The sequence below is a fragment of the Homo sapiens genome, chromosome 2 (genome assembly GCF_000001405.40).
Source record: "Homo sapiens chromosome 2, GRCh38.p14 Primary Assembly".
Lineage (NCBI taxonomy): Eukaryota > Metazoa > Chordata > Mammalia > Primates > Hominidae > Homo > Homo sapiens.
Window position 1 is genome coordinate 156,041,573 of NC_000002.12, and position 24,511 is coordinate 156,066,083.

General features: G+C 37.1%; 1 long non-coding RNA gene across 2 annotated transcripts in view, besides 3 other annotated features; it reads right to left on the reverse strand.

Annotated features, from left to right (window-relative positions):
• The window catches only part of LINC01876 (long intergenic non-protein coding RNA 1876), a 234,397-nt gene that overhangs the window by 21,038 nt on the left and 188,848 nt on the right, over positions 1 to 24,511 (reverse strand). The window lies entirely within an intron of this gene.
• Positions 5,688 to 6,188: an enhancer, noted in NCBI's record as "H3K4me1 hESC enhancer chr2:156903772-156904272 (GRCh37/hg19 assembly coordinates)". NCBI's record gives its function as "activates a minimal SCP1, AML or CMV promoter by ChIP-STARR-seq in naive H9 embryonic stem cells {active_cell/tissue: H9 hESC(naive)}" and the evidence as "EXISTENCE:reporter gene assay evidence [ECO:0000049][PMID:30033119]".
• Positions 7,491 to 7,691: a silencer, noted in NCBI's record as "peak3905 fragment used in MPRA reporter construct". NCBI's record gives its function as "represses an SCP1 promoter by STARR-seq MPRAs in K562 erythroleukemia cells {active_cell/tissue: K562}" and the evidence as "EXISTENCE:reporter gene assay evidence [ECO:0000049][PMID:32103011]".
• Positions 9,941 to 10,141: a silencer, noted in NCBI's record as "peak3906 fragment used in MPRA reporter construct". NCBI's record gives its function as "represses an SCP1 promoter by STARR-seq MPRAs in K562 erythroleukemia cells {active_cell/tissue: K562}" and the evidence as "EXISTENCE:reporter gene assay evidence [ECO:0000049][PMID:32103011]".

Here is a 24,511-nt window from a genome sequence, read left to right on the forward strand (position 1 = left end):
TGAACTCAGCAGCAATCAACTAGATGCAATTGACATCTATAGACTACTTCACCCAAAAACAGATTAAACACTAATCTCACCTTACATGGAACATTCACCAAGAGAGACGACATTCTAGGTTATAAAACACAACTTGGCTGGGTGCGTTGGCCCACAACTGTAATCCCAGCACTTCGGGAGGCCGAGGTGGGCAGATCATGAGGTCAGGGGTTCAAGACCAGCCTGGCCAATATGGTGAAACCCCATCTCTACTAAAAATACAAAAATTATCTAGCCTGGTGGCACATGCCTGTAGTCCCAGCTACTTGGGAGGCTGAGGCAGAAGAATCGCTTGAACCTGGGAGGCAGAGGCTGCAGTCAGCCGAGATCATGCCACTGCACTCCAGCCTGGGTGACAGAGCGAGATTCTGTCAAAAAAAAAAACAAAAAAACAGCACAGAACTCAATTCAGTATGAATGATAGCTGAAAAATCTCAAAGTACTTGAACACTAAGCAACACACTTCTTAATAACACATGATCAAAGAAGAAATCTCGAAAGAAATTTTAAAAGATTATTCACTAAATATATATGCAATTTATTAAAATATGTGGGATACAGTAAAGGCAGTGTTTAAAGGGAAATTTATAGCCTTGAATGTGTATAGTAGAAAAGAAGAAAGATCTAAAGTCAACAAGCTAAGCTTCTACCTCAAAAAAACTAGAAAGAAAAAGAGCAAATAAAATCCAAAGTAAACATAAAAAAGAAATAATAAAAATTAGAGCAGAAATACATATAATTTAAAACAGGAAACCAGGAAGTCTTAGCCAGAGCAATTAGGCAAGAGAAAGAAATAAAAGATATCGAAATAGGAAAAAAAGAAGTCAAACTATCTCTCTTCGCTGATAATAGGATTCTATACCTAGAAAACCCTGAAAATTCCACCAAAAGGCTCCTGAGTTAATGAACAACTTCAGTAAAGTTTTGGGAAATAAAGTCAATGTATAAAAATCAATAGCACTTCTGTATAGCAATATCATTCAAGCTCAGAGCCAAATCAAGAATGCAGTTCCATTTACAATAGACACACACACACACACACACACACACACACACACACACACACATATCTAGGAATACATCTAATCAAGGAATTGAAAGCTCTCTACAAGCAGAGCTACAAAACACTCCTGAAAAAAATCATAGATAACTCGACCAAATCTAAAAACATTCCATGCTCATAGATTGTAAGAATCAATATTGTTAAAATAGCCATCCCGTCCAAAGCAATCTACAGATTCAACATTATTCCTATCAAACTACCAATGTCATTTTTCACAGAACTGGAGAAAACACATTCTAAAGTTCATATGGAACCAAAAAAGAGCCCAAAGAGCCAAAGCAATCCTCAGCAAAAAGAACAAAGCTGGAGGAATCACATTACTTGACTTCAAACTGTATTATAAGGCTACAGTAAACAAAACAGCATGATACTGGTTTGAAAAAAGCCCAGACACATAGACCAATGAAACAGGATAGAAAGCCCAGAAATAAAGCTGCACACCTACAACAATTTGAACTTTGGCAGAGTCAACAAAAATAAGCAATAGACAAAGAACTCCTTATTCAAAAAATGGTGCTGAAAAAAAAAAGCTTTAGGCATAATGTCACTTGAATTCATACTACACTACAGGGCTACAGTAACCAAAACAGCATGGTACTGGTACTAAAAAACAGACACATAGACCAGTGCAACAGAATAGAGAGCCCAGAAATAAGGCTGCACACCTACAACCATCTGATCTTTGACAAACCTGACAAAAACAAGCAATAGGGAAGGACTCTTTATTCAATAAATGATGCTCGGATAACTTGTTAGCCATATGCAGAAGATTGAAAGTGGACTCCTTCCTCATACCATGTACAAAAATCAACTCAACATGAATTAAAAACTTAAAAGTAAAACCCAAAACTATAAAAACCCTGGAAGATAACCTAGGCAATACCATCTTGGACATAGGAACTGGCAAAGATTTCATGGCAGGAAGCCAAAAGCCATCACAACTAAAACAAAATTTGACAAACGGGATATAATTAAATTAAAGAGCTTCTGCACAGGAAAAACAATAATCAATCAAGTAAACAGAAAACCTACAGTATAGGAGAAAATTTCTGCAAACTATGCATCTGACAAAGGTCTAATATCCAGCATCTATAAGAAACTGAAACAAATCTGCAAGAAAAGCAAACAAACCCATTAAAAGTGGACAAAAGGCATGAACAGACACTTTTCTTTTCTTTTCTTTTTGATGTGCTTTTTTCTAAAATTTTATTTTAAGTTTTCTGGGATACATGTGCAGGACGTCCAGGTTTGTTACATAGGTAAATGTGTGCCATGGTGGTATGTTGCACCTATCAACCCATCACCTAGGTTTTAAGCCCCACATGCATTAGCTATTTGTCCTGAAGCTTCTCATCCCCCTAGCCCCCCAACAGGCCCCATTGTGTATTGTTCCCCACTTCCCCCATGTCCATGTGTTCTCATTGTTCAGCTCCCACTTATGAGTGAGAACACATGGTGTATGGTTTTCTGTTCCTGTATTAGTTTGCTGAGGATAATGGCTTCCAGCTCTATCCATGTCCCTGCAAAGGACATGAACACATTCCTTTCTATGGCTGCATAGTATTCCATGGTGTATATGTACCACATTTTCTTTATCCAGTCTATCATTGATGGGCATCTGGGTTGATTCCATATCTTTGCCATTGTGAATAGTGCTGCAATAAATATATGTATGCACATATCTTTATAATAGAATGATTTGTATTCCTTTGGGTATATACTCAGTAATGGGATTGCTGGGTCAAATGATATTTCTGGTTCTAGATACTTGAGGAATCGCCACACTGTCTTCTACAATGGCTGAAATAATTTACACTCCCACCAACAATGTAAAAGCATTCCTATTTCTTCCCAGCCTCACCAACATCTGTTATTTCTTGACTTTCAAATAATTGCCATTCTAACTGGTGTGAGATGGTATCTCATTGTGTTTCTGATTTGCTGCTCTCTAATGATCAATGATGTTGAGCTTTTATTCATGTTTGTGGGTTGCATAAATGTCTTCTTTTGAGACATGTCTGTTTACATCCCCACTTTTTGATGGGGTGGTTTTTTTCTTGTAAATTTAAGTTCCTTGTAGATTCTAGATATTAGCTTTTTGTCAGATGGATAGATTGCAAAAATTTTCTCCCATTCCATAGGTTGTCTGTTCACTCTAATGAGAGTTTCTTTTGCTGTGTAGAAGCTCTTTAGGTTAATTATATCCCATTTGTCAATTTTTGCTTTTGTTGCAATTGCTTTTGATATTTTTGTCACAAAATCTTTGCCCATGCCTATGTCCTGAATGTTATTGCCTAGATTTTCTTCTAGGGTTTTTACAGTTTTGGGTTTTACATTTAAGTCTTTAATCCATCTTGAGTTAGTTGTTGTATAATGTGTAAGGAAGGGGTACAGTATCAATTTTCTGCATATGGCTAGCCAGTTTACCCAGAACCATTTATTAAATAGAGAATCTTTACCCAACTGCTTGTTTTCATCAGGTTTGTCGAAGATCAGATGGTTGAAGATGTGTGGTCTTATTTCTGAGATCTCTATTCTGTTCCATTGGTCTATGAAACAGACATTTTTCAAAAGAAGACATAATTGCAGCCAACAAGCATATGAAACAAATTCAATATCACTGATCATTAGAGAAATGCAAATCGAAACCACAATGAGATACCATCTCACACCAGTCAAAATGGCTATTTTTTAAACTTTTATGTTAAATTCAGGGGTACATGTGCAGGATTTGCAGGTTTGTTATATAGGTAAACTTGTGTCATGGGGGTGTGTTATACAGATTATTTCATCACCCAGGTATTAAACCTAGTATCCATTAGTTATTTTTCCTTATCCTCTCCATCCTTTGTTAGGCCCCAGTGTGTGTTTTTCCCTTCTGTATATCAATGTGTTCTCAACATTTAGCTTCCACTTTATATATAAGAACATGTGATATTTGCTTTTCTGTCCTTGCATTAGTTTGCTAAGGATAATGGCCTCCAGCCCTATACAGGTTCCTGCAAAGGATATGATCTCATTCTTTTTTATGGCTACATAGGGTTCCGTGGTGTATATGTATCACATTTTCTTTATCCAGTCTATCATTGATGGGTATTTGGGTTGATACTATGTCTTTGCTATTGTGAATAGTGCTGCAGTGAACATATGTGTGTGTGTGTGTGTCTTTATGATAGAATAATTTATATTCCTTTGGATATATACCCAGGAATGGGATTGCTGGATCGAATGGTATTTCTGTCTTTAGGTTTTTGAGGAATCACCACACTGTCTTCCACAGTGGTTGAACTAATTTACACTCCCACCAACAGTGTATAAATGTTCCTTTTTCTCTACAATCTCACCAGCATCTATTATTTACTTTTTAACAGCCAGAATGGCTATTACACACATGCATGCATATGTTCACTGCAACACTATTCACAATAGCAAAGACATGGAGTCAACCTAAATGCCCAACTATGGTAGACTGGATAAAGAAAATGTGGTACACATACACCATGGAATACTGTGCAGCCATGAAAAAGAACAAGATCATATCCTTTGCAGGAACATGGATGGAGCTGGAGGCCATTATCTTTAGTAAACTAATGCAGGAACAGAAAATGAAATACTGCATGTTCTTACTTATAAGTAGGAGCTAAATGATGAGAACACATGAACACATAGAGGGAAACAACAGATACTGAGGGTTACGTGAGGGTGGAGGGTGGAATGAGGAAGAGGATCAGGAAAAATAACTAAAGAGTACTAGGTTTAATACCTAGACCAAACAATCCATACAACTAACTCCCTTGACACAAGTTTATATAATAAACCTGCACAGATACTTAAAATAAACATTTTTAAAAATGGTGCTTGAACAGCTGGCTATTCATATGCACAAGAATGAAACTAAACCCCTACCTATCACCTTCTATAAAAATTAACTCAAGGTGCATTAAATATTTAAATGTAAGACCTCAAACTATAAAAATCCTAGAAGAAACTCTAAGGAACATCATTCTGGACTTTAGCCTGTGAAAGGAATTATGACTAAGTCCTCGGAAACAATAGCAACAAAAGCAAAAGTTAACAAGTGGGACCTATTACATTATGGAGCTTTTGCACAGTAAAAAAAACTATCAACAGAATAAACAGACAACCTACAGAACGGGAGAAAATATTCACAAACTACACATCCAACAAAGGTCTAACATCCAGATTCTATAAGGAAGTTCAATTCAATAAGGAAAAAAACCAATAATCCCATTAAAGAAAGGGCAAAAGACATGAACAGACACTTCTCAAAAGAAGACACGCAAATGGCTGACAAACATGTGAAATAAGCTCAACATCATTAATCATCAAAGTGCACATCAAAACCACAATGAGATAACATCTCACACCAGTCAGAATGGCTATTATAAAAGGCAAAAAACAACAGATGCTGGCAAGGCTGAGGAAAAAAGGGAATGCTTATGCATTGTTGTTGGGAATGTAAATGAGTTCAGCCACTGTGGAAAGCAGTTTGGTGGTTTCTCAAAGAAATTAAAACAGAACTACTGTTCGACCCAGCAATCCCATTACTGGGTAAATACCCAAAAGAAAATAAATCATTCTACCAAAAGACACATACAATCAAATGTTCATTGTGGTGGCATTATTCACAATTGCAAAGACGTAGAATCAACCTAGGTTCCCATTAATGGTAAAATCAAGAAAGGGAAGCAGAGCCAAGATAGCTGACTAAAAGCAGCAGTGATCGGGGACTCCCATGGAAAAAATCCAAAGCAGTATGTGAATCCTGCACTGGCAACCAAGATATACAGGTTCTGATATTAGGACTGACTAGGCAGCTGGCATAACCCACGGAGAGGAAGGAAGAGCAGAGTGGTGCGGCAGCCCACCTGAAAGCCACGCGGGGGCAGGGGAGCTCCCACCCCCAGCCAAGGGAGGTGGTGAGTGTGTGTGCTACCCAGCCCGGGAAACTGCTTTTTCCACAGAACGGTGCAACCAATGGATCGGAAGATCCCACTCATGAGCCCGTGCCACCAGGGCCTTGGGTCCCTACCATGAAGCCACACAGATTCTCACTCAACTAGAATCAGCCTAAGCCAGCTGGGTGCCCCGGGGGAGGGGCAGCCATCACCACTGCTCTGGTTGTGATGTCTAAGCCATTTGAGCTCCTTGGAGAAGGGCAGCAGCCAACATTGTGGCTGCAGGGCCTCTCTGCAGGATTTCCAACTCCAGCCAGGGGCTCAAGGACAGAACTCTGACCTCCCTGGGCCTGAGCCTCTACGGGGAGGGGTGGCTGTAGTCTCCACAGACCAGCAGACTTAGTCTTTCCTCTGCTAGCTCTGAAGAATCCAGGCATCCAAAACAAGTGGGTTTTCCCTCAGCACTGCGCACCCCCTACACCAAGAGACAGCCAAAGTGCTTCATTAAATGGGTCCTGCTTTCTGTGCCCTCGCCAACTTGGTAAGACTCACCAACAGGGGTTGTCAGACATCCTATACAGGAGTGTCCCTACTGGCATCAGGTCGGTGCCCCTCAAGGTCAGAGATCCCAGAGGAAGGAGCAGGCACCCGTCTTTGCTCTTCTCCAGCCTCCTCGGATGGTATCTCCAGACACAGGAGGGAACCGTATGAATAGGGTTTTAGGTGAGCCCCCAGCAAACCACAATAGCCATACGGAAGAGAGACCTGACTATTGAAAGAAAAACAAATAAACAGAAGGCAGCAACAGTATCAACAAAAAAAGTCCCCACAAAAACCTCATTTAAGGGTCAGCAGCCTCAAAGATTGAAATTAGACAAACTCACAAAGATGAGAAAGAATCAATGAAAACAATGCAAAGACCCAAAAGACCAGAGTGCTTCTTCTCCTCCAAATGATAGCAACACTTCTCTAGCAAGGGTGCAGAACAGGACAGAGGATGAGATGGACAAATTGATGGAAGTAGACTTCAGAAGGTGGGTAATAACAAAGGTCACTGAGGTAAAGGAGCATGTTCTAAACCAATGCAAAGAAGCTAAGAACCTTGTTAAAGTTTAGAGGAGCTGTGAACTAGAATAACCACTTTAGAGAGGAACATAAATGATCTGATGGAGCTGAAAAACACAGCACAAGAACATCATGAAGCATACACAATTGTCAATAGTCAAATTGATCAAGCAGAAGAAAGAATATTGGAGATGGAAGACTATCCTGCTGACATAAGGCAGGCAGAGAAGATTAGAGAAAACAGAATGAAAAGGAATGAAGAAAACCTCCGATAAATATGGGACTATGTAAAAAAGACTGCACCTACAACTGATTGGAGTACCTGAAAGAGACAGGGAGAATGGAACCAAGTTCGAAAACACACTTCAGAATATTAACCAGAAGAACTTCCCCAACCTAGCAAGACAGCCCAATATTCAAATTCAGGAAATACAGAGAACACCACTAAGATCCTCCACAAGAAGATCAACCCAAGACACATCATCATATTCACCAAGGTCAAAATAAAGGAAAAAATGTTAAGTGCAGCCAGAGAGAAAGGTGAGTCACCTACAAAGGGAAGCTCATCAGACTAACAGCAGATCTCTCAGCAGAAACACTAAAGCCAGAAGAGTGTGGGGGCCAATATTCAACATTCTTAAAGAAAAGAATTTTCAACCTAGAATTTCATATCCAGCCAAACTAAGCTTCATAAGCAAAGGAGAAATAAAATCCTTTACAGACAAGAAAATGCTGAGGAAATTCGTCACCACCATGCCTGCCTTGCAAGAGCTCCTGAAGAAAGCACTAAATATGAAAATGAAAAACTGGTACCAGACACTGCAAAACACTCAAAAATATAAAGACCAATGACACTATGAAGAAACAGCATCAACTACTGTGCAAAATAACCAGCTAGCGTCATGATGACAGGATTTAATTCAAACATAAATAACCTCAAATGTAAATGAGACTTAGACTCCCACACAATAATAGTGGGAGACTTTAACACCCCACTGTCAATATTAGACAGATCAATGAGACTGAAAATTAACAAGGATATTTAGGACTTGAACTCAGCTCTGGAACAAGTGGACCTAATAGATATCTACAGAACTCTCCACCCCAAAACAACAGAATATACATTCTTCTCGGTGCCACATGGCACTTTAAAATTGACCACATAAGTGGAAGTAAAACACTCCTTCGCAAATACAAAAGAACTAAAATCATAACAAACAGTCTGTCAGACCACAGTGCAATCAAATTAGAACTCAGGATTAAGAAACTCACTGAAAACCACACAACCACATGGAAATTGAACAACCTGCTCCTCAATGACTCCGGGGTAAATAATGAAATTAAGGCAGAAATCAAGAAATTCTTTAAAACCAATTAGAACAAAAAGACAATGCACCAGAATTTCTGGGACACAGCAAAAGCAGTGTTAAGAGGGAAATTTATAGCACTATGTGCCCACATCAGAAAGCTAGAGAGATCTCAAATCAACACCCTCACATCACAATAAAAAAAACTAGAGAAGCAAGAGCAAACAAATCCAAAAGCTAGCAGAAGACAAGAAATAACTAAGATAAGAGCAGAACTGAAGAAGATAGAGATAAAAAAAAAAATCCTTCAAAAATCAATGAATCCAGGAGCTTGGTTTTTTGAAAAAAATTAATAAAATAGATAGACTACTAGCTAGGCTAATAAATAGGAAAAGAGAGAAGAATCAAATAGACACAATAAAAGATGATAAAGGGGATATCACCACTGACCCTGAAGAAATACAAACTACCATCAGAGAATGCTATAAACACCTCTACACAAATAAACTAGAAAATCTAGAAGAAATTGATAAATTCCTAGATACATACACTCTCCCAAGACTAAACCAGAAAAAAGTTGAATCTCTGAATAGGTCAATGACAAGTTCTGAAATTGAGGCAGTGAAAAAGGGCCTACCAACCAAAGAAAAGCCCAGAAACAGACCAATTCACAGCTGAATTCTACCAGAGATACAAAGAGGAGCTGGTACCATTCCTTCTGAAACTATTCCAAACAATTGAAAGGATGGACTCCTCCCTAACTGATTTTATGAGGCCAGCATCATCTTGATACTAAAACCTGGCAGAGACACAACAAAAAAAGAAAACTTCAGGCCAATATCCCTGATGAACATCAATGAAAAATTCCTCAAGAAAATACTGGCAAACCAAATCCAGCAGCACATCAAAAAGCTTATCCACCACGATCAAGTCAGCCTCATCCCAGGGATGCAAGGCTGGTTCAACATACACAAATCAATAAATGTAATCCATCACATAAACAGAACTAGTGACAAAAACACATGATTATCTCAATAAATGCAGAAAAGGCCTTCAATATAATTCAACATCTTTTCATGTTAAAACTTCTCAATAAACTAGGTATTGATGAAAAATATCTCGAAAAATATCTCAAAATAATAAAAGCTATTTATGACAAACCCACAGCTAATATCATACTGAATAGGCAAAAGCTGGAAGCATTCACTTTGAAAACTGGCACAAGACAAGGGTGCCCCCTCTCACCGCTCCTAATCAACATAGTATTGGAAGTTCTGGGCAGGCCAATGAGGCAAGAGAAAGAAATAAATAGGAAGAGAGGAAGTTGTAATTAGTGTGTTTTCTTGCTTCTGATAAAGACATTCCTGATAAAGAAAAGAGGTTTAATTGGACTTACTGTTCCTCATGGCTGGGGAGGCCTCAGAATCATGGTGGGAGGTGAAAGTCACTTCTTACATGGCAGAGAAAAATGAAGAAGAAGCAAAAGCAGAAACCCCTGATAAGCCCATCAGATCTTGTGAGACTTATTCACTATCACAAGAATAGCATGAGAATGACCAGCCCCCATGATTCAATTACCTCTCCCTGGGTCCCTCCCACAATACGTGAGAACTCTGGGAAATACATTTCAAGTTGAGGTTTGGGTGGGGACACAGCCAAACCATATCAGAAGTTGAATTATCTCTGTTTGCAGATGACATGATTCTATACTTAGAAAACCCCACGTCTCAGCCCAAAAACTCCTTAAGCTGATAAGCAACTTCAGTAAAGTCTCAGGATACAAAATCAATGTGCAAACATCACAAGCATTCTTATACACCAATAACAGACAAACAGAGATCCAAATCATGAGTGAACTCCCATTCACAATTGCTTCAAAGAGAATAAATATTGACTTACTATAAAATAGAGTAATTAAGACAGTGTGGTATGGGTGAAAGAATACAGAAATCAATCAACAGAGCAGAATACAGAACCCAGAAACAGACCTATATGTAAACAAAGTCAACTGATCTTTGACAAAGGAACAAAGGCAATAAAATGGAGCAAAGACAGTTTTTCAGCAATAGTGTGGAAAAACCAACATCCACATGCAAAAAAGAAAAAAAGAATCTAGACACAGACCTTGGATCCTTTACAAAAAAATAATTATAAGTGAACATAGACTCATAGACCTAAATATAAAATGCAAAAACCATAGAAGACAATATTTTTTAAAGTCCTAAATTACCTGGTGTATTTTTTTATATTTTTAATGGACCTGACATTGCAAACATAGGCAAATCACTTTTTAGATACAACACCAAAGGCATGATCCATGAAAGAAAGAATTGATAAACTAGATTTCACTAAAATTAAAACCTCTACTCTGTGAAAGACAATGTTAACAGAATGAGAAAACAAGCCAGATTAGGAAAAAACATTTGCAAAAGAAATGTCTAATAACAGAATATTATTCAAAACATACAAAGAACTCTTAAAACTCAACAATAAGAAAATGGACAACCCAACTATAAAATAGGCCAAAGACCTTAACAGACTTCTCACCAAAGAAGATATACAGATGCCAATTAAACTTATGAAAAGATGTTCAACATCGTATGTCCTTAGGGATTTGCAAATTAAAACAATGAGAGACCACTACACAACTACTAGAATGGTGAAACTTCAGAACACTGGCCACACTAAATGCTGGCTAGGATACGGAGAGCATGAACTCCCATTCTTTACTAGTATATATGCAAAATGGTACAGCCATGTTCAACAAAGACAGTTTTGACAGCTTCCTACAAATCTAAACGTATCCTTACCGCACAATCCAGCAATCTCATTCCTTGTTATTACCCAAAGGAGCTGAAAACTTATGCCTACATGAAAACCCACCCACAATGTTTATAGAAACTTTAATTGTACTTGCCAAAACCTGGAAGCCACCAAGATGTCCTTCAGTAATTGAGTAGATAAATAAACTGATTTATCCAGACCAGAATATTATTCAGTACTAAAAAAGAAATGAATTATCAAGCCATGAAAAACATAGAGGAAACTTAAATGCATGTTACTAAGTGAAAGAAACCAATCCTGAAAAGGCTACATTTCATATATTCCAACTATATCACATTCTGGGAAAGACAAAATTATGGAAACAGTATAAAAATATTAGTGATTGGTAAAAAGATTAGGGAGAAAGAGATAAATAGGCTGAGCACAGAGGATTTTTATGACAGCAAAACTCTTCTGTATGATATTACAATGGTGAATACATGTCACTATACATTTGCCAAACTCCCCGAATGAACAACACCAAAAATAAACCCTAATATAAACTATAGACTTTGGGTAATAATGATGTGTCAATGTAAGTTAATTAATTGTGTATGCCACCCTGTTGAGGAATGCTGATAGGAGGTAGGTTGTACATGCATGGCAACAGGGAGTATGTGGGAACTCTGTATTTTTCCACTCAATTTTGCTGTGAACCTAAAACTGCTCTGGAAATAGAGTTTAATATTATTATTATTATTGTTATTATTATTATTATTATTACTATTTGAGATGGAGTCTTGCTTTGTCATCCAGGCTGGAATGCAGTGGTGTAATCTTGGCTCACTGTAACCTCTGCCTCCTAGGTTCAAGAAATTCTCCTGCCTCAGCCTCTCCAGTAGCTGAGATTACAGGTGTCCACCACCTTGCCTGGCTAATTTTTTTTTTTTTTTTTTGGATTTTTTGGATTTTTAGTAGAGATGGGATTTCACCATGTTGGCCAGGCTGGTTTCAAACTCCTGACCTCAAGTGATCCGCCCCCCTCAGCCTCCGAAAGTGCTGGGATTATAGGCATGCGCCACTGTACCTAGCCCAGTTTATTAATTTTTAAAGAATGCTTGCCCATTTGTACTAAGTCTCCATCTCAGTCTGCTACCTGGCATTTCTTGCACTTACACAAATTTGTCTTTCAACTCTCTGACCCATTTTTGTGGTCCCTATTCAGGCTATCACTTTTCATGAGCAAGCACTTACCTCTTCTATCTATTACCATGCTCTACCCTTCTCTTCCAAACCTGGTACACAGTTTAATGAACTACGATGTGTAGTGGTGGAGAGAGTTTGTATGGGCTTTGATTTAGAGTCAGACAAAACACATTTCACATCCTGGTTCTGCTTAGCCACTAGAAATATAATAATGTATAAACTACTTAGATATTCTGCACTTTAGTATCTTTTTCTATTCAATATGCTTAATAGTACTTGCATCATAGGTTTGTTGTATAGAATAAATGAGATAATGTATGCAAATATTAAAACATCAAACTGTGTCTGGCGTGTAGTAAGCACTCAATAAGTGCTAATTCACTTTTAACAAAATTTGGCTATCATTTTTGAAGCACTGACAATTACTGTCACCATGTCTGAAAATCTCTTAATGCTGGCCATGCCAGTTACTTGCTTTTTGGACCAAAAAAACATATTTCTTACATTTCCACAGCAAGCTACATTTCCCAGGCCACAGTGTCAGCTGGCTGACAGATAAGTCCAGCCATCAGGAGGCAATGGCAATAGATAGGAAGGCAGAAGGAAATGAGAGGCCAAGATATAGCTCATCTTCTCTCTCTTCCTCAGGCAGCCTCTTCCAGCAGCAACATCCGCAAGGGACAGGTTTTCGCTCCCTGGGCCCAGTTTCCCTGGAGATCCTCTGCCATTTAGCTACTTGGGATCAAGCAGGCCTAACTCTGAGGCTCCGGTAACACCACATCTTCCTTTGGTTCCCCAGTCCCATGTATGGTGGTGTTTTCTCCTGTAACAAAGGTCTTCACTTCCTCACCAACTTGTTTTTTTTGCTTTTCAGCTCTCCCAACCCTTGTAACTAGTTCCCAGTACTAATTCCCTCTATTTCAGTACATGCTATGTGCTGTGTTATCCTGAAGAAGCCAAGTCAGAGTTATCCAAATTAACAATGAACTTCTTCTTATATATTGGCCCAATGTGCATGTGATTATTTATGACACAGCCTTTTAATCAAGCTTTATTCCTATAAATCAAATGCCTATGTTTGCAAAGCTCATATTGTTAGCAGAGAGTAGAAAGAATTAAAGCAGTTTATAAGGCTTAGGGGCATTGCTGAGAAGCATGAGGTAATTTCTCTCTTTAACATAAACGAGTCTATTAGTCATGCATATCATCTCTTCTATGGGCAGCCAAAGACAACCATATTTTCAGGTGGCCATAATGAAGTACCCTATACTGAGTCACTTAAACAGCAGATAGTTATTGTCCCACAATTCTATAAGCTAGAAATCTGGGATTAAGATCTCAACAGGGTTGGTTCCTTCTGAGGGCTGTGAAATCATCAGTTCCATGCCTCTGGTGATTCAGTGGGGATTTTAGTGTTTCTTGACGTGTAGAAGCATCACCTAATCTCTGCCTTTACCTTCACATGACATTCTCCCTGTGCTTCTGTGTCCAAACTTTTCCTTTTTATGAGTATACCAGTGATATTGGATTGGGGCCCATCTTACTCCAGTATGACCTCATCTCATCTATTTGTATCTGCAATGACCCTATTTCTAAATAAGATCACTTTCTGAGGTACTAGTGGTTAGGACTTCAGCGCAATAATTTGTGAAGATGCAATTCAATCCACAACACAGGCCAAGGTGCTCATTAGGAGAATTTAATCTTTTAAAGGTTGCTGCAAAATCTAGATGCCTCTTTGAACATAATCTTTATTTTACTAAAATAGAAAATCTGCAAGTGTCTTTATTTTTTCTAGAGCATTTGGAAGAGAAAAGGGAGAAAACTCAAATGTAATCAATTCTTTCCCTCATTCATAACCCTAGGTACCAAGCGATTTATGAAGATATTAGTTTATGTTTCAAACTTGTATATGGTACTGAATGATGTAAATGTATGTAATTTATGGTGGCTCTTCCAATTAGTCCAGTTCCTTAAAAAGTCAGATCACCCAGAGACATTTGGGAGGCATATTAATTAGAATCAAATAAGACAGACTAGCATTATATGCCATCACTATAAAAGGCAAGGTAGAATCAGAAAGGGGTGATTTTCTATAAGCAATTACAGGAAGAGGAGATACTATACTGAAGGAAGGGAAGTGGAAAATAGGACCGAAATAAACTGAAATTGGTGCCCTGTATTCCAAGAAAGAAGGAGACCAAGATATTATTGCTTAAGACAGCCTAGAAAGTAGGAAAGAGATCAAATGTTAATATAGATATATAGCTTAAAGTCAAATAGGAATAAACTCAAATATACACCTCAAAAGCAAAGTTGCTATAACAAACTGTTTTTAACTTGTGTTTCTATTTTGATTAAATCAAGGAGAGCATGGGCATTATATATGGGAAGGGGAAAGTAGGTTGTCTACTACCCTCTCAAGGGTAAGCTCTTATTTATGGTATAGGTGCTTGGGAGAAATTATTTTATGGAGAAGATTGAGCAGAAAAAATATAAATTCCTTAAGTTTTAAGAAAATTTGCCCCAAAAGTCTTTGAATTTTAAAGAGATATGGAAAGTTAAAAATAACTTCACTTTTGAAGGCTCACAGTTGCTGTAGCTTTAAAAGAGTGAAAGGCTTGAATTCACCTTTAGGGTACTAACTTTCTTTGAGATTTAAAACCATCATCGTGAGTTTTTCTAATCATGAAAATGCAAAGCAAGTTCCTCTTCTGAAATTAAGAAGTTTGCTATGCTCTCTATGGTCATATGAGATAGTGGCTTTTTTGTGGTAAATAATGCATTTCTAGGTCCCTGTATCCTTTCAACAAATATTCGAAAAAATTATTTACATGGCAATGCCTCTGGAGATTATTGTTTATTGGAGGGGTGTGTGCCTGTCTGTGTGTGTATGTGTGCGTGTGTGTGTGTGTCCTTGTAGAAGCAATTAACATCTGGAGATTGGAATTGAGACCCTGAAGATTACAAGATCTCATATTCTCCTCAAGCTAGAGGACAACCTATAAAAAATAGATCTGCACTTAATAATGCTTAACTTAACCTTAAGTTTGTGTTTGTGGTCTAATGAATTTTTATGCCAAACAGGATATCTCAGATCTTGGACAATAAACTATGTCAGTCTATGCACCCTAATGTGAGTGCACTGTTGGAGACTAAAGACAAAGACGACTTACTATGGAGAGAGGATGGATAATCCTAAAATGGAAATGATTTGGGGATAGAAACTGAAGACTGAATCTTAGACTGGGGATGAGAAAGAGTTCTCCAACTTTAGATCTGTGCAGAAGGCTGACAATTCTCAAAGCACAGATTTCCTGAAGTCTTCCCAGAATGGTGGGAAAGAATGTTGGTATTTATGATGGACGTATAGCTAGTTTGAAGTTTCCCTGTATCGGGTACTCATGAGGATAATATTCTGTTATCCTCAAGTCTTAAAGAACAATTTGTTAAACATTACAATCTAATCTGTGCTTTGAGGAATTAGGAGCATGTCCATGTTTAGGACACAGTAGTATGGAAGACAGCACTTGTATTCTTCCACTTAAGATTGAATATTGACAACAGCATCTTCCCAATTTTTGATTAATTTTTGAGTGGGCAGCAAAGCAAGCTAGAGATCTGATTGTGTGGTTACCAGTGTAAAATCAGGCAGAGACAGAACATTATTAGAGACTAATGGAGGAAAAATTAAAATAAATAAATAAATAAATAAATAAAACTAAGGGAAAAATGGAGGATCTAATTTAAAACAATCCCAGTCTTCAAAAATGTTCTAGAAGGAAAATACATGTAAGGAGAGTGGGAGTTTTAGAATCAGGTTTCCATTATTACTCATATGGGAGTTACTAAGTGGACAACAGATACTTTCAGTTGTCTGTGTAACTTTTTCTGGTAAAGTTGCCAATTGTGAGGCTTAGAAGTTTCTATGCTTTGTGTCCTGTATTCTATATAGTATTAAGTGATTCACCTTTGGTAAATAAACTAATGTATGCTGTTCTTATGAAACCATTGTTTTTAAAAGTAAAGGCAACAGTACATTATTCATCTTTCCTTTGCACTTGCGATGATGAAGATCCCTGAGTAATAAAAAAATAATCTTATTTCAGCTAAAAATTTACTTTTCCTCTCTTCCCAACCCTCCTTACTCCCACACTTAAAACTTTTAACCAGTTCTGGGAAAAGGTAGAAAATGCTAAGTTCCACCTCCTCTCCCTGCTCATCCTTTGATAAGCCTGCTAATGAGTAGTGAAATAACCAAGAGGTGAGGAGAAGAAGAAAAAAGAAGAGAGGTTAAGGGGCCTGAATAATCAACACACTAATTAATCTCATCTGACTAATCCTTGATTCATAAAGGAACATGAAATATGTCCCCAAATATTAACATCACTCTGGCTAGATAGGCTATTGACATTCTCACAAGGCAAAGAGGGAAAAAAAAAAAAAAACACCTTTCCTGTAATTATCAAGTAAAAATGTTCAGGGAGTGTATTTCAGGCATGAAGGGGAGAAATAGTGTAAAGTTCTCTCAGCCATCTTCTGGTAGTAACCTAAATAGAAATAAATTGGATCTTATAAAGTTGATGAAAATAACAAATAACTATGTTTTTATATATTCCAAAAAAGAAAGAAATTTGGAAAGGGTAGATTGAGGGTCATGTAGCCCATCCTTCTGTCTCCTAACAGAACAACACTTGCATTTTCAGCCTCACAATTGGCAACTTTACCAGAAAAAAGTAGCTATTTTGCTTGGAAATACAGGTGGGTCCCACATTTTTCCCAATAAATATGTTCTGTGAAATATGCACAAATCAGATTTTTTAAAAATATACTCTATGAGATTCCTATCTCAAGACATCATGTAGTGGTTTTTGTTTGTAAATGTCATTTTAGGATTAAATAATTACTTTATGATTTTTTTAATTAAAGCATGTCTGTAGTCTAAAAAATAAGTTAATATATTTGTTCTACCCATGCCTCCCTAAAGAACAGAAACACTAATTAGAAATTGTATGGACTGATAAATTTGTGGTATTTACTAATAATATAGTTTACCCTCCTGGACAGAGAATTTCAGTCTTCCTCAAGCACTTCCTCAAGCTCTGTGCTTTACTGAAAGGAATGTTTTATTTGACTTCAGTGCTCCTCCTTGTCTAAGGTCACAATTAATTAGTGGCAGGGCCAGGTTGAGAACTTGCCCTTTGTTCTTTGTTTAATGTTCTTTCAATTGTACTACATCATTTGTCTTCAACACTGCCCTGTTTCGATCCTGTGTTCTGAGTACTCACTGGATCAAACATTGTCCTCAACTTGTCCATAGCTTCTTGTTCTACCTTCTACACTGGTTCTCTGCGTTTTCCCAACTTGTTATTGTCAATAATACAGCTTCATAATGCCCCTCTCCTAAAGGTAACCTTCAAGAGAATCAGTTTAAGGTTGTTCTAAAAAGAATACCAGTAACCAACTATAATTTCTCTTTTCTTGAGGAAACAATTATAATACCCTTTAAGACCAACCAGTTCAGTTGTTTAGGGGAGACAACACTGTGATTGGTCCCCAAGGTCAGCAATTACAGGAAGGAAAAATTTTTCCTTGAAAACTCAAAATTAACTCAAAAAATTGAGAGAACCAAAAAGAATTTTCTTCATTCTTCTACTTTTTTTGGTTTGTTTTTCATTTTCCTAGACTAAGTGAAGAAATTCAGATTAAATTACGTGCACTAACTAAGATTTGACCTGACTAATTTGTGTACTATAGAAAGAGACCACGTTCAAATGAGTTAAACACCTTCTGCGGCTAATTTGCTGCTCTCATAGGTGGGAGCAGGAGTGAAGAAAGAGAGGGGGAGAAGGCAGTGGGGAGGAGGAAGGAACAAGGAAACGAAGGAAGGAAGGGAGAAAGGCTGATAGATTATAATGAAGAGCTCTCAGAATTCATGGGGATTTTATTATTAAAAAGTGGGGGTTATATTTAGCCTTTATGATCCCCATTATTAGGCTTTCACTGCATTTTGATTTTCTTATGCCCTTAAATGCGTGAAAGAATAAAAAATATTCAGATAGCAGGATATGTTATGAGTACCTGGTCCAGGATAAAACAGATTCCACTTGACTAAACAGAACTAGATCCTCTGGTTCTTTTAGGGAAAATATATGCAACTCCCCCATACCAAGCAGGAAGCCAAATTATTTCTTTGTAAAGAGGAATGGAAGAGCAGAAAGGAATGAGAAAACATTTGTCATGCTAGCCTCACTCTAATGCTTTCTGGGACCTATTTATCTCTTGCTTATTATGTAGTCTATATAAAAGGTGCAGTCTCTAAAAGCTATCCTACAGCTCTGGAGAATAGTGAAAAGCCATATTCCATGGGCCTCACAGAGAGAACGGTTTCCCCCTTAGAATCAGGTGTGGCTCCCCATGGCTGCTCAACCTTAGAAACTTGTAGAGTGTCCACGGTCGAGGAACTACCAAGGTAATTTTGCTCTGGATAGAGCTCAGAGAGGAGCTGTTCTTCACATGCTATTGATCACAGATGGAAATATATCTTCCTTAACTGGGTATGCTGCCCTTTAAAGTCTCCCACTTCAATGTAATGGGACAGATTGAATATTTTTCCATGTTAGTGGGTGGAAGTTTTTCCGATGCCACCCAGTTGCTCTTTTCTTCCAGAAAGCAAAATACAGATTTCCTTTGGGTGCAACAGACATCAAGAAATAAAAAATAGCTGTCTCACATGCAATGCAAAATGACATCCAAAGAAATCACACATCAGAAATCACACATGGCAGAAATAAGCTTCCTTTTGAAATATTTTGGCACCTGACACAAGAGCAAAAGAATTGCACAGACCACCTGAAAAAAAAAAAGATTTCTGTTATAAAAATATTAATTAAATAATATATTTCTTACAGGCTGATCCTGAAAATATAGACTGAGGGCTGCCTATTGAAAAACAATACTTTGTGAAATATATTTTAATATTTAACAAACTAAGAAATAGCAGTTAGACCTGTAAGAACAAATTGAAGCTGGCTTGAGTGCCTACATAATATAGAATCTGTTTTCTTTGCTATAGCCTAAGCAAATCAGGTGCAATGGACTTGGCCCATTATGAACACTTTATGGTAGAGATAGTCAAATAGTCCCCAAGATTTTTTTAAGTCTCCTAAACAGGAAAAGAATCTCTTAAATTCTAATTCAAGTGAGTTCTAATTCATTTTATTAGATATAAATTCCAATATAGAATTTCAAAGGACTAATCATTTTTATTTTGAAAGTCATTGGTTCCTTTTGAAAATTTCTTCATGCTTCTTCTAGAGATAGTGAAATTCTCCCCCAAAATAAGTTAAAAGGTGATGCCCGGAGGCAGATTAAGGAAAAGTGTTTGCTTCATTCCTTGAAATGGCGCGTTTTTATATGTCTGCAAATACTAAAGACCAGAAAGCTTAAGAACTGAACTTCACATAGTACACCTGTGTGAAATATTAATGAGACAAGTTCCCAACCTGCATGTAACTCAATGAAAGAGTTACCTAGGCAGAGAATTGGCTCAGGAACATCTAATATATTGGTTGAAATGTTAGAGGTGATGTTTGAAGTTTGTAGCCTGTCAGAGCAAGTAAGAATATGAGCTAGTTCACTTGCTGCAATGCCTTACATCTTTTTTTTCTGGATTTTTCTTGATAGCTGGACAACTAAAATAATTTTAGCAGATAAAGTTCTCTAAATTATAGACCTGATGTCATTGCATGCTTCCTGGTCTTTCTCCTAAGGTGAGAGAACTCTTTGTTCTATGGATAATCTTACTGTAGGCAGAAAGCAAGTGATGAACAAAATGTTCAAAATGTTTTCCTCATTCTTTAATTTTATACTGATTGTAACATGGCCAGAGCCCTAGGTTTTCTTGTAACCCTTTGCTATGGATATCAATGTGAACTTAAATATTAAACCTAGGAAGAAATGACCTAATTTTGCAGGTCTCTGAAAAGAGGTATTTTGTCATATTTTGGGGGGTCAGGTATTTTGCCAATTTTTTATGTGATTTCATTAGATTTTTGTGCACATCAAGTACAAATGGCTTAACCCTAGAGGGAACACTAGGGACATAATGTCCCTCCAGTGTTCTCAATTTTTTATTCCAAAAACATTTATTGAGCTCTTACTATATGCCAGGAATGGGGTTAGGCTCCAGGGATACATAAAAAGGGCTGTGACAAAAATATAAACTAAATACCATGGCACAGAGGAGACAGCATAATTCTGCCCAAGAGAGACTGAAAACTTCACTAAAAAGATGACATTTGAGCTCTGAAATATGCACAGGAATTTTCCTGGTGGAAAAAAAGAAAAAATAGGAAAAGAACTTCAAATTTAAGGAATAGCATATGCAAAAGCAGGAGGTCCTAAGAGTCTAATGTAATCAAGAAGTGAGAAGCTCTTCCAACCAGGCATAGAATAGAATACATGATGGGAAATAAGTTGTAGCCAGCATAATTACAAGTGAATATGAATTTATTCTCTAAACAGCAGCATTATGAATTCCTAAATCCTCATTTTTAAGGTGATTCTATATATGGCTGGCTCTACCCTGCCTTACGACCTTACTCGGAATTGTAACAAGTACATGCTGTGGAAAACTGCCAGTTGATTTGACAGAGAAAATTGATAGAACATACTTTCTTGAGCAGAGGGACTGTGGGTACCTTAATTAGAATGGAATAGTAAGCAAAATCCTGGAAATGGTGTGTGAAAATAAAACAAATCCTATGTCTACAAAAAGAAAATTATAGAGAAAATTTAGATAAAGGAAGAAACATTATAACCTTGGATACATTGGATGAACTAAATTGAGACCATTAAGCTGTGCACAAAACAGGATGGACACAATAGCAAGTGTTTGAGAAAGGAGAGATAAAAACATAAATAAACATTTTTCTTCTGTACTTGTGCCTAAATATAAAAGCTATTGCAGCCGGGCACAGTGGCTCACGCCTGTAATCCCAGCACTTTGGGAGGCCGAGGCAGGCGGATCACCTGAGGTCGGGAGTTCAAGACCAACCTGACCAACATGGAGAAACCCAGTCTCTATTAAAAATATAAAATTAGCCGGGCATAGGGGTGCATGTCTGTAATTCCAGCTACTTGGGAGGCTGAGGCAGGAGAATCACTGGAACCCGGGAGGCAGAGGTTGTGGTGAGTCAAGATTGTGCTACTGCACTCCAGCCTGGGCTACAGAGCAAGACTCCATCTAAAAACAACAACAACAACAACAACAACAACAAAAGCTATGGGCAATGTTTTACTTCATTGTTTGGGGGGAATGTTATAAAACTATATGATACATATAATAGACTCCAAAGATTTATTCTAAGACTTCCTGATCCATTCACTTAGTATGGCCCAGTCACTGGGTCATTTCTCTACAGATGAGAAATTCCATAATAAATGGGAAAACATGGGAAGCTTTTAAACAGACAAAAAGGGAGTAGTATGAGCAGATTTGTTTCTTAAAAGATAAACACTGGTGACAATATAAAGAAAGGCCTAGAGTTTAGAGAACCACTAGATCCTATGATGCATAGTGAGTAAATGAAAACTGTCATGGCTTAGATGATGATTTGTACAGAGTATAATAATAAATGAAAACCTAATATCTGGTCATTGCTGCTGGTTTTCCAATGAGAAAGGCAAGATGAGCTTGCAACAGCCAATGTGAGCTACTGTATCAGTATGAACCACTCCTTTCCCCGTACCTGCTGGGATATGGCATGGCTTATGCGGTGTGAGAGGACCTAGAGGAAGTCTAGTTAGTCTGGTCAGAAGACAGAGATGTGATCATGCAATCTTGCAGGAAGCATTTGGAGGGAAAGCACAGCAAAGGGTTACTTTTCATAGAAAGCAAGATGGCTTTCAAATAGTCCCAGAAATGTTGGTAGCATTCTGGAATAAATAATTGTAGCCATAATAGAATGTCATTTTAGAAAATCATCATGTGAGTGAAAAACATGGAATGCTTATATATTCTTTCAAGAGTAGAGAACTTATTTGAGGAAACATCACCTTGGCTTGGCCATTAGACTTTCCAGTTTCTTCTGTGGCTGGTAATAATTAATCATTTTAACATAAATCAAGATCATTAAGAAATTCAGAAGTCATCTATTAAGATTTATGCCTTATATAATAGATGTGCTCCTTAGCTATTTCTTCAGCATCAACCATTTAAATCCAGTACTTTTAAATGTCCTAAAAGGAAAGTATTTATTTAAAGATTTCCTGTGATAAATGTTTGGTAAAGGAAGGATCCTTTGGTAACATGAATAATTCTTCCATATTTATAGTTTAGTCACTTTGAATTTTCATATACTGAATTATGCTTTCTTAAAGGGAATATATCCTGACTGGCAATGATTTTTATGTTACAAAGTGTATATCTTATACTTATTTCAATTTTCAGTGCAAAATGAATGCAAACATTATTCCAATCACCTTTTTACCATAAATATGCCAAAATATCTTAGCCAATGAAAAACTCTCCACTGCTAAATACATGTTTTCATGAAAAACAAATTAGATGCATTTTCCTAAGGAAAAGAATTTAAATGCATTCTTTGAATCATGCTCTACAATCTTTTTCCAAAGCAGCTTATGCTGTATCTTACAAAGTCAATGTTTACCAGTATATTTATATAATTTTCTTTCTTTTGTTTTCCCTCCATTTGGCAGAACACAGAGTACTATATAGGCATGTGTCTGAATATTTAGCCATGCTATGCCAGGAGTCCACACAATGCTTAGGACTGTTTAGTTTAACAAAGAATGTGTGGCTTTTGCATGTTCTGGCACGTATGAGTGTCTCCAAATCTCTGCTAATGGCAGAACATACTTGTCACTTGAAATTCACAAAAGTGCAATGAGTTTAAACAAACCACCACCAACCTTATACATACTTCTCTTTTAAAACTTGATGCAAAAAACTGATGAGTATTGGAAGCATAAAAAAGTACATCAAGACGTAGGGAAACAAACTCTAGGGCCACCTCTTTGTAGTTACCTTTTGAATTTGCCCACGTTCTGCTTCTAGCAAGGAGATAACATGAAGCTCAAAATATGATTTATAACCTTCATATAAATCATTTACAAATGCCGGAACAACCAAATATTTAGTAGTCAGCCAATCTGCCTATAGTTTATATCTAATTTGTGATCTTTGGGTTGGAATATTGTGCAGTTAAATTAGGTAAACATTACTTTAAAATTAGGGATTACTGGCTTTAAACATAATAAACTATTTTTCCTTACATAAAGGAGAGCTAATGGGAACCTAATTTTTTGTCTGTGGATTTTTATGGATAACAAGGAGAATTTATAATATCGAAGCAAGTGAAATGAACCATTCACTGGTGGAAGTAATGTTATAAATGCCAAACAAGCTATTTTACCTATACTGAGAAGAAGTTTGCTTTGTCATCTATCCCAGTGCTTCTCAAATTTTAATAAAATGTGTGGGATACTGTCAGAAATACAAATTCTGACTCAGTAGATATGGGTTGGTGGCCTGAGAACAAGTTCTCATGTGATAGTGTTGCTACATTCTACAGACTGTACCTTGAAAGCAAGAATATAGATGGTTTTTAAATTTTTAAGGATCTGTTCTGTATCCTCTCTTTATGATGAATCAGTTAGCTTTTCCTAACTTTATTTTTACCTAGTTTACTCAGTATTCTTTGCAGACTTGCAAGGATAGAGCATAAAGACTCGGTAGTAGTATGGAAATAACATAAAATATATTCCAAAGGCCTGTGTTCGAATTACAGTTCTTCTGTATCTAGATGTATAGCCTTTGCCTAGTTGCATCAACTGAGACATAATTTTCTCTTAAGTAATTTGAGAATATGTAGTTATCTAGTCAATGGAGATGTATAAAAACAAATGAGATTATACATGTGCAAACTTTAGATGAGCACTATAAATATTTTAGTTGTTGAAGTTACTATTATGTCACTGAGTTATTGGGCTACATTAATTATTATTCTGTGTTTTACACAGTGTTGTGATGTATCTTGTATTCTCCTGATCACCATTTGAACCTTCTATCTTTCTTTTGAGTATTATAACTCGCCAGTCTGGAGTTGCAAGGTCTCTAATGTATA